Here is a 13,213-nt window from a genome sequence, read left to right as displayed (position 1 = left end):
TGATGTTGAGCATATTTTCATACCTTTATTGATTACTAGTATGTCTTACTACTCTGTGAATAATCTTTGTTGTTATTCTTTTGGATTACTCGTCTTTTTATTATTGATTTGTAAAAAGCTTTTAAAATATTAAGGATATTAGCTCTTGTCTAACAGTATGTATGTGAATACTTTTCCTAGTTTGTGGTTTACTTTTTTTTTTTTTTTAGACAGAGTCTCACTCTGTTGCCCAGGCTGGAGTGCAGTGGCGCTATCTCAGCTCACTGCAACCTCCACCTCCTGGGTTCAGGCTATTCTCCTGCCTCAGCCTCCTGAGTAGCTGGGGTTACAGGTGCCCACCACCATGCATGGCTAATTTTTTTGTATTTTTAGTAGAGACGGAGTTTCACCATTTTGGCCAGGCTGGTTTCAAACTCCTGACCTCTGGTGATCCACCTACCTTGGCCTCCCAAAGTGCTAGGATTACAGGCGTGAGCCACCACGCCTGGCCTGTGGTTTACTTTTATATTTTGTGTGTGTGTCTGTGTGTGTGTGTGTGTGTGTGTGTGTGTAATAGCAGTTTTTAACTTTTATGTATTCAAATTTATCACTTTTTTTTTTTTTTTTTTTGAGACAGAGTCTCACTCTGTCGCCCAAGCTGGAGTGCAGTGGCGCAATCTCGGCTCACTGCAACCTCCGCCTCCCGGGTTCAAGCGATTCTCCTGCCTTAGCCTCCCGAGTAGCTGGGATCACAGGCCCCTGCCACCAGGCCCAGCTAATTTTTGTATTTTTTAGTAGAGACGAAGTTTCACCACGATGGCCAGGCTGGTCTCGAACTCCTGACGTCAGGAGTTTGTCCTGACGTTACCCGCCTCAGCCTCCCAATCTGGGTTTCGTATCAAGTGTAGAAATATTTACTCAAGCTATTTTATTTAGTAAACACTATGATCACAGATCTTAGGTCTGTGAGCATCTCAAAAAAAACCTATAAAAATATTTGAAACACAAAATAAAATATTTTTTGCCCTAGAAAACAAAAAGAAAATTGCTAAGTCTAAGTAATTAAATGCTTATTTTAACTAAATGTCTAAAAATATAGCATTATATCACTTTCAGTAACTAATAAATTCAGTCTTCACAAAGGTTTAATACATTTGAAAACAACTTATAGGATTTCCCCCACCCCACAGGAGTTCTTATGAACACGAATTATTACAAAGATTAAAAACCAATCACAGATTAAATAAGTTTCTTATAGCCAAATGATGGCAACAGCAAGCTACAAGAATCCTTTCAAAACAATTTATAGCAAAATTTATAGTTGATAAGAGTTGGGCACATTTAATATGTTTGGCACGAATAACCGAACATCCTCCAGAAGGAATATCTGAAGTGCCATAGGGTTACAGATAGCCTGTTCCTCAGCTTAAAGTTGTAAAACTTAGGTATGAATTTCTTATTTATACATAAATTTTTTTGTTCATCAGGAGTTTGATGTGAAATATGTGAAGTAGCTTTTTTCCCTTTCTAATCAGGAAGCCAGTTGTCTCCATTCCTTTTAAACTCTTCCCCACTGGATTGAAATGTTACCTTTTTCATAAACTATATTCCCACAATGTATGTGTCTTCGATTAATTTTTTAAATGGGAGAACAAATTCCTGCTTATAAATGAATGCAGCTTGGTTGTCAATACTCTTTGAAAAGTTGTTCGGGGTGGGGAGACATTTTTGGTGGGAAACGCTGGCGTTCCCTGCTGTTTAGCAAGTGGAGGGGAGGTGAAAGTGTGTACATACTGCCTGTTTTGAGGGAGGAAGAGTAGAGTATGTGCCACAAAGAGGAGCAGGCGAATGCCTAGAGCTCAGGGAGGAGCACAGCTACGTCCAGCTGAGAGCACTGAAGAGGCTTGATGGAGTGGTGGACACCCGAGTTGGGTCTTGAAGTAGGGCCAGGTATTGAAGGCACTCGTCTTCAAGCTGAGGTACCCATGCTCTTGAGGGGACAAGGGTACTCCCCAAGAGGGACATAATACAGGTGGCTTTGAGGGCACAATTTCCAGTCCTTAGTCCATCTCTTCTTGTCCAACTGATCAGCCAAAAGCACACAATGCATGTGGTCCCTGAAATGTGGCTTCTCATCTACATCTCCCATTATTTAAAAAAAAAAAAAAAAAAACAAAAAAACAACAGGCTGCTGGGCATGGTGGCTCATGCCTGTAATCGTAGCTCTGTGGGAGGCCGAGATGGGAAGATCACTTGAGTCCAGGTGTTTGAGACCAACCTGGGCAACATAGGGAGACCTCGTCTCTACAAAAACTTTAAAAATTAGCTGGGCATGGTAGCACTTGCCTGTAGACCCAGCTACTCTAGAGGCTGAGGTGGCAGGTGGTTTGAGCCAGGAGGTTGAGGCTGCAGTGAGCCATGATCTCACCACTGTACTCCAGCCTACGCAACAGAGCAAGGCCTCATCTCTTAAAAAACAAAACAAAACAGTCACTTCCTGCCCATCTCCATCTTACTATAAAGCATTTCTCAGAGGCATAAAGCCCCCAGGTCACCAAACAGAAAACATTCAGAATTTTAAGATACATGTCCTGCAGCGTGTCACTCTGGGGCCTGGATGGCAAGTTCTCTTGCAGCTTAGGTTGTTAGCAATATTTTACCTTTAACAAAATTGAAAGAACCTAATCATGTTGTGAGCTAATAGGTCATTAGAAACAGTTTTTGATGATCATGTTGACCATGTGATCTTCGTGGCATATAATTCAGAAGTTCAGAATTGAGTGACAGTTCCATAACAAAGCTTCTTCCAGCCCATCTACATATTTATGTAAATGAGGTTTCCCAATGTAAATGAGGTTTCATATATAAAAATGAAAAAGACTAAAATTGATTCTGAACTGTACATTCTACAATAAGAATATTGATTTCTAGATAAGTAAACTAATTAGAAAAAATTTCTATTCATCCTTATAAGAGATACATTTCCCAAAGTTTCTTTATTTTCTATCTTGGATAATTATTTATCATTCTATAGTGATAATCACTAAGGATAACTTAAGCCAGAAAAAAAATGAACACTTAGAGACCTGTGGTTATTAGAAATGAAAGCAAAATTAAACTTTCAACTTACATACACATTTTTGTGGCAGAGTGGCAGAGGAAGTGATCAGTAAAAGGCTTCTAAACATACAAATATGTTCTATTAGGATAAAATTCTGTGGGCAAAGTGGGAATAGAAATAGAAGTTCAAGGTGAAAAGGAATGATATAAAAATTCCAGCTATCAAAGAAGAATTTGTTCATGTATTTTTAAGTGAATAATGGTGGGTTTAAAATTGCCGGGGTTCTTAGATTCCATTGGTGACATTAAAGGGTGATGGAAGAGTTTATTTCAAAGTATCAATATTTACAATACTCCAGAAATTACATCTTTTGCAGTTACTGATGCATTTTATATGTTTATTCAAAAAGGTGCAAAGGAGTACATAGTTTTAAAAATCATTTTAAGGTGTAAGCAAGCAAAATATTTTAAGTAGTTTGTGAAGTCAGGGAAGTTTTCCTGATGCTAGAGTCGTGGTCATGTTTGTGGAGGGATCATAACAATTTAGCGCAGAGACAAGGATTGAAGACAGATGGGAAAAGGCACACAACTAATGGAGCAAAACTCCAGGGAGAAAGAAATGGGCAGGGCTAAGGAAACAAGCAGAGGAGTTCAGTGACAGGAGGAGGGAAGAGAGACATTACTTTCCCTGAGATTGGAGAGAAAAGGGAGGTAAAGATGGTGACTTTGAGCCAGTGTAGGAAGTAGGGGATGGAGGTATGGATGACTTTTTCTTTTCCTTTTAATAGAGAATAGGACACAGACATCTTTGGAGAGAGTGGGAGAGTTCCACAGTTCTGAGGGAATCAAAGGTCTTCATTTAAGGCTGTGGCGGGGGGGTAAATGAGAACATTAGAGCTGCTTTATATTCCATCCACTTCCAAACCAGTTGAGTTGGTGAATCAGAGAGGCATTAAAGGAGTGCCGCGCATCCGAAGGAATCCAGCTTAGGTCATCTAGCACCCATTTTCAGCCTGATGAGTTTGTCTGATTTCTTAGTAAGGGAATGAATGGATTTGGCAGAGGAGCATGAAGAGCCTCAGGAGGGCAGGACTGAGGCTGCTTGGTTCATTTATCTCCTGGCTTCTTTTCTCTTTTTCTCACAGCACTTGTCACCTTCTAACATACAAAGTAATTTATTTATTGTGTCTACCACCTTATGTAAGGTCTATGTTTTTTTCACTGGATATATCAAAAGCCGTTAGACCACATGACATGTAGTTGGTGCTCAGTGTCTGCTAGTAAACATTCGATGAATGAATGAATATGTGTGTACATGACATATTCTATTGTCATTGCAGTAAACATTTGTTCACCATAGCAAAACTCTGGGAACAAAACGTGAATGTTCTTCTGTTAGGGAAAGAATGAATAAGCCACGGTATTATCCTGACCATGGAATATATACAGCATTTTTAACAGTGTATTAGCACTGTAGAAATTGATTTGAAGCCAGGTGTGGTGGCTCATGCCTGTAATTCCAGCACTTTGGGAGGCTGAGGTGGGCAGATCACTTGAGGCCAGGAGTTCGAGACCAGCCTGGCCAACATAGTGAAACCCCATCGCTACTAAAAATACAAAAAATTCACGCCTGTAATCCCAGCACTTTGGGAGGCTGAGGCGGGCGGATCACGAGGTCAGGAGATCAAGACCAGCCTGGCTAACACGGTGAAACCCCGTCTCTACTAAAAATACAAAAAATTAGCCGGGTGTGGTGGCGGGTGCCTGTAATCCCAGCTGCTCGGGAGGCTGAGGCAGGAGAATCGCTTGAAGTTGGGAGGCGGAGCTTGCAGTGAACCGAGACCACACCATTGCACTCCAGCCTGGGCAACAGAGCGAGACTCCGTCTAAAAAAAAAAGAAATTGGTTTGAAGGGATTTCTACAAGATATTTGAGTAGAGGAACACAGAAGAGGCCAATAGTGACAAAAAAAAAAAAAAAAGAAAAAGAAACAAACATATAAATGTGTATGTGTTGTTTAGAATAACAACATAAGCACAGAGAAAAGTCCTGGTAAATTATAGGAGTTACCTGGGAAGTCATAGCGGTGAAATGGGAAGTAAGGGAAGGGGAAGGCAGATTAGATGGAAAAAAATACTGCACTAAAAACCAAAAATGTTATAATCCCATTTATGTAAAATGACACCTATGTATGTAATGATACATTTGAAATTAATCTACAGACCTATAGGCAAGTTTAGAAACAAATTTCAGGGCAGTGCGTAACAGGATGCTATTTAACTAAAAACAAACCCAAATGCCCATGGTGTACATGCATACGTGCTTGGGAATGTGAGTGTTTTTTGGACACCTCAGGGTATGGGGCCGAAGGGTGGGAGTGGTCAGGAGGTAGCCTTTTCTTCATCGACCTGATTGTGAGTGAGCAGATGAGAGAGAAACTGTGTTAACTGTACCGGTTGGCTGGTCTGACTGAGAAAGGGAATGAGCATCTCTTTAAAATAAACCCTGGCTGGGCGCAGTGACTCATTCATGCCTGTCATCCCAGCACTTTGGGAGGCTGAGATGGGAGGATCATGTAAGCCCAGGAGTTCAAGGCTGCAGTGAGCTATGATCACACCACAGCACTCGAGCCTGGGTGACAGAGTGAGACCTTTCTCTATTGAAAAAATAAGAGTAAAAATAAACCCTGACAATGCTGAATATTTTTTTTTAATTATGGAGCTCATGGAAAACAAACTTTGCATCTATTTTAACTTGACTACAGTTTGTATTGGTATTCAAAGCTACAAGGTGTCCAGAAAATTCTGTGTCTACTCATTTCCAACTCAATATTACATTTCTTCAGGGTCTCTAAGATAAGACTTATTGAGATGTAAATTGTAGGGCTGCAGAAACCTGGGCAGTTGGCATGAACATTCTGGGTTCTTTTCTCCTCCTCACCCCTGCCCACCCTCTCTCAGCGCACGATGGGATCGTGATTAAGATCGAGGTACAGACCAACGACGAGGGCTCAGAAAGTTTGGAGACACCTGAGCCCCTGATGGGACAGGTGGAAGAGCACGGCTTCCAGGACTCAGAGCTGGGTGACCCCTGTGGGGAACAGCCAGACCTGGACATGCAGGAGCCAGAGAACACGCTGGAGGAGTCCACGGAAGGCTCCAGCGAGTTCAGCGAACTGAAGCAGATGCTGGTGCAGCAGAGGAACTGCACGGGTGAGTGCTGGGCGGGGACGGCCGGGGAAGGGTTGCCATGAGGCCTCCCAGAGGGCCCCTGCCCCCTGGGAAAGCTGTGGTTCCTTCAGAGAGGTAGCTGGACACTGATGGGGCAACAGGTGGGAAAGAATTACCAAGCACGGCCTCGAGTATAGGCTCCGTGACGCGGGACTTGTAAGAATCCGTCTCCAACCTAGGAAAGAAGTGGTTACATCTAAAGACTGGTTCAGGCAAAGGGATCTCAGAGCTCACCTATCCCACCCCTCATTTTACAGACAGAGGTTAAATAGATGGGGCAAGGCCACACAGAGAGTGGCAAAGCTAGAACTCTCCCAACGTGTCCTTGATCATCTCATATCACCCTAGAAGCCTCAACTACCTTGAAGATTTCAGCCCTGGAGAGCATGGTTTTCAAATAACAATAGCACCGGCATTCTGTGGTCGAACCTAGTCTTCATTTTTGTTTAATTATAAAACTTTATCACCATGCTGCTCACTCTTGCTCCTTCTGAGTTCAAGAACAGTAAGGCACTGGGGCTCACGGTGGCCTGATCCCAGGACATCTTTCGTGATGGATTTTCTGATGCTGAGCCATCCTGGCAGGCCCGGGAAAAGCCCTACTTGATCATCATGATGTATTTTTTGAATTCACTATTGGACTTAGGTAATAAATATTTTACTCAAGTTAGACAACTGTATTCATAAATGAAATGAACCTTTTCTTGAATTATTCTCATCTAATTTTGGAAACAGTATTATACTGGACATATCAGATGAACTGGGCAGCTTTTGCTGTTGTTCTGTATTCTGAAAAAAAAATAGGAATTGAGTGTGTTCCTTGAAAAATTGGTAGAACCCACATGGACTTTTGTTTTTGTCTGGATGTTTCGTTTATGTGTGAGTCATTCACCATTACGTTTGTATTGTATTTTCATATTTAGAAATAGATCCACATCCATTTCTGTTTTTAAAAGTATTATATTGATGTAAAGTGTTTAAAAATTATCTGTAGATAATTCCTCTATAATTTGCCTTTTTGCACTTAATAAAATACCCATGGTATTTTATTAATGACCATCTCGTTGGTCAAAAGATATGGATCTAGGCCCAGGGCAGTGACTCACACCTGTAATCCCAGCACTTTGGGAAGCAAAAGCAGGAGGATTGCTTGAGCCCAGGAGTTCATGGCCAGCCCAGGCAACATAGGAAGACCCCATCTCTACAAAAAAATTAAAAATTAGCCGGGAATGGTGGCGCATGCCTGTAGTCTCAGCTCCTTGGGAGGCTGAGGTGGGAGGATTGGTTGAAGCTGAGAGGCTGAGGCTGCAGTGAGCCATGATTGTATCACTGCACTCCAGCCTGGGTGACAGAGCAAGACACTGTCTCAAAAATATGTACATATATGGATCTACCACCTTATTTTTAAGTAACTCCATGGTATTTCAGAAGTGTTTTTGACATACCATGCTGTCTTTCATAACAGAATAGTGAAAAGACATAAGGTAAATTCTGAGTATATGCTAAATTGGGACCATCATCGTATAAACTCTATTGCCTTTTGAGCAGTCCCCATTAATTGTAGTAGAACTTTAGAAAACTACTAAACAGTAGTTTGTGGAGTTTTGAGTCTTGAGTTTTAGGGCCAAATGTTTGGCGTTTACCATTCCATGAAGAAAAAAGCACCTTCGGCCAGGAGCGGTGGCTCATGCCTATAATCCCAGCAGTTTGGGAAGCTGGGGCAGGCGGATCGGATCACTTGAGGTTAGGAGTTCGAGAGCAGCCTGTCCAATGTGGTGAAACCCCATCTCTACTAAAAGTATAAAAATTAGCTGGGCATGGTAGCAGGCACCTGTAATCCCAGCTACTCGGGAGGCTGAGGCACGAGAATCGCTTGAACCCAGGAGGCAGAGGTTGCAGTCAACCGAGATCGTGCCACTGCACTCCAGCCTGAGCGATAGAGCCAGACTCAGTCTCAAAAAATAAATTAAAAGAAAAAAAGAAATAAGCACCTTTGATGCTCAAGGAGAGTTTAGTGCTTCTCAGGATCTATTTTCCCCTTTGCCTTTCAGACATACTCAGTATTTTCAGGATAAACACCAGGGCAACTAGTTACCACACTCTGCAGCTGCCTGCTCCTTGATCTTTTAGGCATCACGCTCCAAGGATGTTCTGGGTCGCTTCTTGCTGAGAATCCTAACACTACTGAGGCAGCCTTGACTCAGCACACCTGTGTCCTAATTTTACCACTGTAGTTCACTGGCTGTAGAGGAGGCCAAGGAAGTGCTAAGGACAGGGAGTCACTAGCAACCTTACAAGACGTTGGCTGGGTCACAAACATTGCTAGCTTCAGTCCATGTTACTTGAGGAGGTAGACCAGGTGGGTCCCAACCTGCAAACTCTAGAAAGGCCTAGGACTTCATTTTCTATTTGGAAACATCACTTGATATCTCTGGGCTTGGATGACCCATCTGTAAAATGGGGAGAATTCTTGCTTGACTCGTCCTATAATAAGATACTGTGCTCATGAAAAAAAAAGGACAGGTATGAGTACTCTGAAAAGGTCTTGTTGGTTTTTAATTATTCTGCAAACACAGAATTTTTGTGTCTTCTGTCACAGATGGGTCCAGAGAAGTGACTTTCTTATGTCACACAAAGCTGGTGACTAAAAATAGAACTCACCAGTTAGTGCCAAATAAGTACAAGGCACTTGAGAAAACTCAAACAGGAGTCGGGAGCCACTTCTTTTCTCTAAAACTTACATTATCATAAAGGACCAGGCTAGAGAGTTGAGGGGGCATCCCCGGGTGGGGCATGCACTGCCTGCACCTGATCCAGATTCAAGGGTGGTCGAGTCTGACTGTGCCGGTGCATCTTCCACCCATGAGAGGCTGCAAAAGGCTGGGTTCCTGATCCCTGGGGTGGGCACCAGTGAGTACTGTGGGCTCCAAGGAGGGGTGGAGTGCTGTAGGTTTTGATCACCAAGGCAGACATGGAGAGGAGAGGGAAATTTCTGGAGGAAGGTGAGGAAAGGCACCAAGAGGAGAAATCTCCAAGTGGATTAAGAAAGAAGTGGGCCGGTCTGAGCAGAGTTCAGGCAGAGATGTCCTCAGAGGGGCAAAGACTGAGAACCTTAGGAGTGGAGACCCTTTGGTACAGCTGGTAGAAACCCAACCTTTAAGTAGCCTAATGGAAAAAGGGGTGTGTATCGCTCATATAATTAGAGAATCGTGAGTATTCCAGCATCAGGCATGGCTGGATCCAGGTGTTCCCACATCGGCTCTGTGTACTGGTTTCCTTCTTTCCTGCTGGGTCCGGCTGTACCAGCAGTTTCGCATCATAACCAACAGGAAGCGATTTCCCCTGCGGTCCTCTGTATAAAATCCAAAGAGGACTCTTTTTAGCCCCTTTTAAGTCTGGACTCATTCCTGAAGCAAACAGCAAGGCCAGTCTGGGTTACGCGTCTACCCCGTTGGGGGAGGGGAGCGGACCAGGGGACGCAATGAGGGGACTTTTCCCAAAAGAAGGAATTTGGGCCAATAATGCAATGTTTTGGTGAGGGTGAAGCAGTGCTGTACCTCCATCCAGGTAGGTTAGGGGCGCCAGGCAGCAGCTAACGACTTTCTCTCTCTGTCCCTGGAGCAGAGGGGATCGTGATCAAGACAGAGGAACAAGACGAGGAGGAAGAAGAGGAGGAGGAGGATGAGCTGCCGCAGCACTTGCAATCCCTTGGGCAGCTGTCCGGGAGATATGAGGCCAGTATGTACCAGACCCCGCTGCCCGGGGAGATGTCCCCCGAGGGCGAGGAGAGCCCCCCGCCCCTGCAGCTAGGAAACCCCGCAGTGAAAAGGCTGGCGCCCTCCGTGCACGGTGAGCGGCACCTGAGCGAGAACCGCGGGGCCTCGAGCCAGCAGCAGCGGAACCGGCGCGGCGAGCGGCCCTTCACATGCATGGAGTGCGGCAAGAGCTTCCGCCTGAAGATCAACCTCATCATCCACCAGCGCAACCACATCAAGGAGGGGCCCTACGAGTGCGCCGAATGCGAGATCAGCTTCCGGCACAAGCAACAGCTCACGCTGCACCAGCGCATCCACCGCGTGCGCGGAGGCTGCGTCTCACCCGAACGCGGGCCCACGTTCAACCCCAAGCACGCGCTCAAGCCGCGTCCCAAGTCACCCAGCTCTGGTAGCGGCGGCGGTGGCCCTAAGCCCTACAAGTGCCCCGAGTGCGACAGCAGCTTCAGCCACAAGTCCAGCCTGACCAAACACCAGATCACGCACACGGGTGAGCGGCCCTACACGTGCCCCGAGTGCAAGAAGAGCTTCCGCCTGCACATCAGCTTGGTGATCCATCAGCGCGTGCACGCGGGCAAGCATGAGGTCTCCTTCATCTGCAGCCTGTGCGGCAAGAGCTTCAGCCGCCCCTCGCACCTGCTGCGCCACCAGCGGACTCACACAGGCGAGCGGCCCTTCAAGTGCCCCGAGTGCGAGAAGAGCTTCAGCGAGAAGTCCAAGCTCACCAACCACTGCCGCGTGCACTCGCGCGAGCGGCCGCACGCCTGCCCCGAGTGCGGCAAGAGCTTCATCCGCAAGCACCACCTCCTGGAACACCGGCGCATCCACACAGGCGAGCGGCCCTACCACTGCGCCGAGTGCGGCAAGCGCTTCACGCAGAAGCATCACCTGCTGGAGCACCAGCGCGCGCACACGGGCGAGCGGCCCTACCCCTGCACGCACTGCGCCAAGTGCTTCCGCTACAAGCAGTCGCTCAAGTACCACCTGCGGACCCACACGGGCGAGTGAGCGCGCGCCCCGCCGCCGCCGCCCGGCCAGGTGCGCGGGCCGTGCCCCCCCTCGGACACCGCCAGGCCCGAGCCCAGCGGGCGGGGGCGGGGCGCCCCCCAGCCCCTTTGCCGTGAGCTCCCCCTCTCCTCTCGTCCCTCCTCCCAAGGACATGGGGGCAGTGAGACCAGGTCCCTTGCTGCCGCGTTTCCCCGGGGGCCCCAGGGGGGAGGGCGCGGACCTGGGGAACCCTTTCGGGCTGTTAATTTCCTTGACAATAAAATGGATGAAACCAATCAGCACGGGGGGCGTGATTTGGCCGCCGGCCACTCAGAGGGGCGGTGTAGGGCCCATCTAGTTGGGGATAGAACTTTATAATTACCTTTTGGATACTGTGGTTCTATTTGATAATAATAGAGTAATTTTTAAAAGAAGAGCGTTTCCTGTTTGCCGTTTTTGTTTGGTTTGAAGGGGAGGGATTGAGAAGGCCGGAGGGACATACGCTAGTGTCAGTTGACAGGTTCTGTTGGGACCCTTTTTTGTGTTCCTTCTCCATTTGGGTGGTGAGGGAGACGCTGATCCCGCCGGTTCTGAAATGGAGGAGGAGAGGCAGGACTGACGTCTAAGGGACCACGGGAACCCCAGACCATCGCGTCTGCCCTGGAGTCCATGAGGTTGCTGGGAGCTCAGGACTGAATAGGTCCCAGTTGACTAGCGTGGTCAAGGAGAGTGACGGTCAGGTTTGGAATGAGCTGGAAAGAAGGTCCTGTAGCAAAAGCTGGGCGCTGCCTTCAGTGCCCAGGCGTTCCTGCGTAGCTTGAAATGCAGCTGGCTGAGGAGTAGGGTGGCGGGAGGGAAGCCTAGGGAAGAGGTGCAGAGGCCCCTGGTGCCAGTCTTTGCGGAAGCCACAAAAGGCACCAGTCAGAACATTTTTTATTTGAATGTTGCACCAAAGCTACTCTGGACTTGCTGAACGCACTGACGAACCCTGGTTTCTCTAGGTATTCATTCATTTCCCATCTCCCTCCAGCTCTCTCTTATAGAAAGAGAAACTGCAGGAATATTTATTACGTTGCCCACAGAGCGATTTACTCTGCTGATGGGTTTGGCAGTGGCCCAGAGAGAATTCAGGCCATTCGAAGGGATAATTCATGGAGGCTAGCAGAGTGCACAGCTCAGCCTCGCACACTGGGGAAGCTGGGCTGAAAGCAGAGAGACTGGCCTGAGAGGAGAGCACTGCTGAAGCCAGGCCTGTCAAGTTGTGACAAGATACTTGAAGGGGGTTCAAAAAAGGGGATTTGGAGGAAGAAGGTGATACACTCTTGACTTTCAGGAGACCATAGAGATCATCAACTCCCTCTGCTTTGTATAAAGAGTTTGTAAGCTAAGCACAGAAAGGGGAAGTGATTGATAGCACAAGATCTCACATGTGAAGCTTCTCCATTTAGACTGAATTTCTAAGTCGATGATAGGACATATAGGGATGGTGGCCAGAGGAGGGAGCAGAGGTCTGGGCTGGTGTAAAGGACTGAGGGGCAGTTTCCACCAAGACCTGAAGCATCAGCTGCGAGGCTGGTGCAGATACGTGGGCAGGTAGTTCCGTAGTGTGCAGCCAGCTTCACCAGTTGCCAGGCAGAGGGGGCCTGCAGGAGGACAGCTTCCCCCAGGAGGTGGAATCTGAGCTGGGCCTGCGGGATGGAGAGGATTTCCATACATGAGAAAAATGAGGAAAGCTTTCTTGGTGGGGGTGGTCATAAAAGGAAAAGTGTGGAGAGTAGGCTGCATGTAAGATCAGGATGTAAGCAGTGATGGATTAAACCTCAGCTGGATGAAAGGGCCTGTCTAGGAAAAACAGGGCCAAATGTTGGTTTGGAGTAGACTAGGGGTGCAGAAAGGATCTAAGACTTCAAGGCTGCAGACTTTGAATTGGATCTTGTAGGAAAAACCATTGAAGATTGCTGAGTAGGAGAGAGAGATGATACAAATAGCTATCCAGGGACTGAATCTGGTAGAAGGCAAAGAAATCTAACAGTCAGGTGTGGGAGAACCAGCTCAGTTCCACGGACGGGTTGCAGATAACAGAACCCGTGGGTGGAGGTTGAAGGGATGGCAGGGGAAATGGTTCTTTTGAACGTGAGGATATTTGAAGTCTCAAAGAGTTGTTAGTGGAGGAATTTGGGGAGG

At 46.7% G+C, this 13,213-nt stretch overlaps 1 protein-coding gene across 2 annotated transcripts in view; it reads left to right on the top strand.

The window, feature by feature from the left end:
• The window catches only part of ZNF777 (zinc finger protein 777), a 29,700-nt gene extending 18,237 nt beyond the window's left edge, over nucleotides 1-11,463 (top strand). For both annotated transcript variants that reach the window (NM_015694.3, XM_005249980.4), the window contains exons 5-6: nucleotides 6,000-6,251; nucleotides 9,894-11,463. In NM_015694.3, coding sequence (NP_056509.2) covers nucleotides 6,000-6,251; nucleotides 9,894-11,050 — 1,409 coding nt within the window. In that variant the 3' untranslated portion in view covers nucleotides 11,051-11,463. The remainder of the gene's footprint in view (nucleotides 1-5,999; nucleotides 6,252-9,893) is intronic.
• The last annotated feature ends 1,750 nt before the right edge of the window (nucleotides 11,464-13,213 follow it).

The sequence above is a fragment of the Homo sapiens genome, chromosome 7 (assembly GCF_000001405.40).
Source record: "Homo sapiens chromosome 7, GRCh38.p14 Primary Assembly".
Taxonomy (NCBI): Eukaryota; Metazoa; Chordata; class Mammalia; order Primates; family Hominidae; genus Homo; species Homo sapiens.
This window is presented reverse-complemented; position numbering and strand designations above follow the sequence as displayed.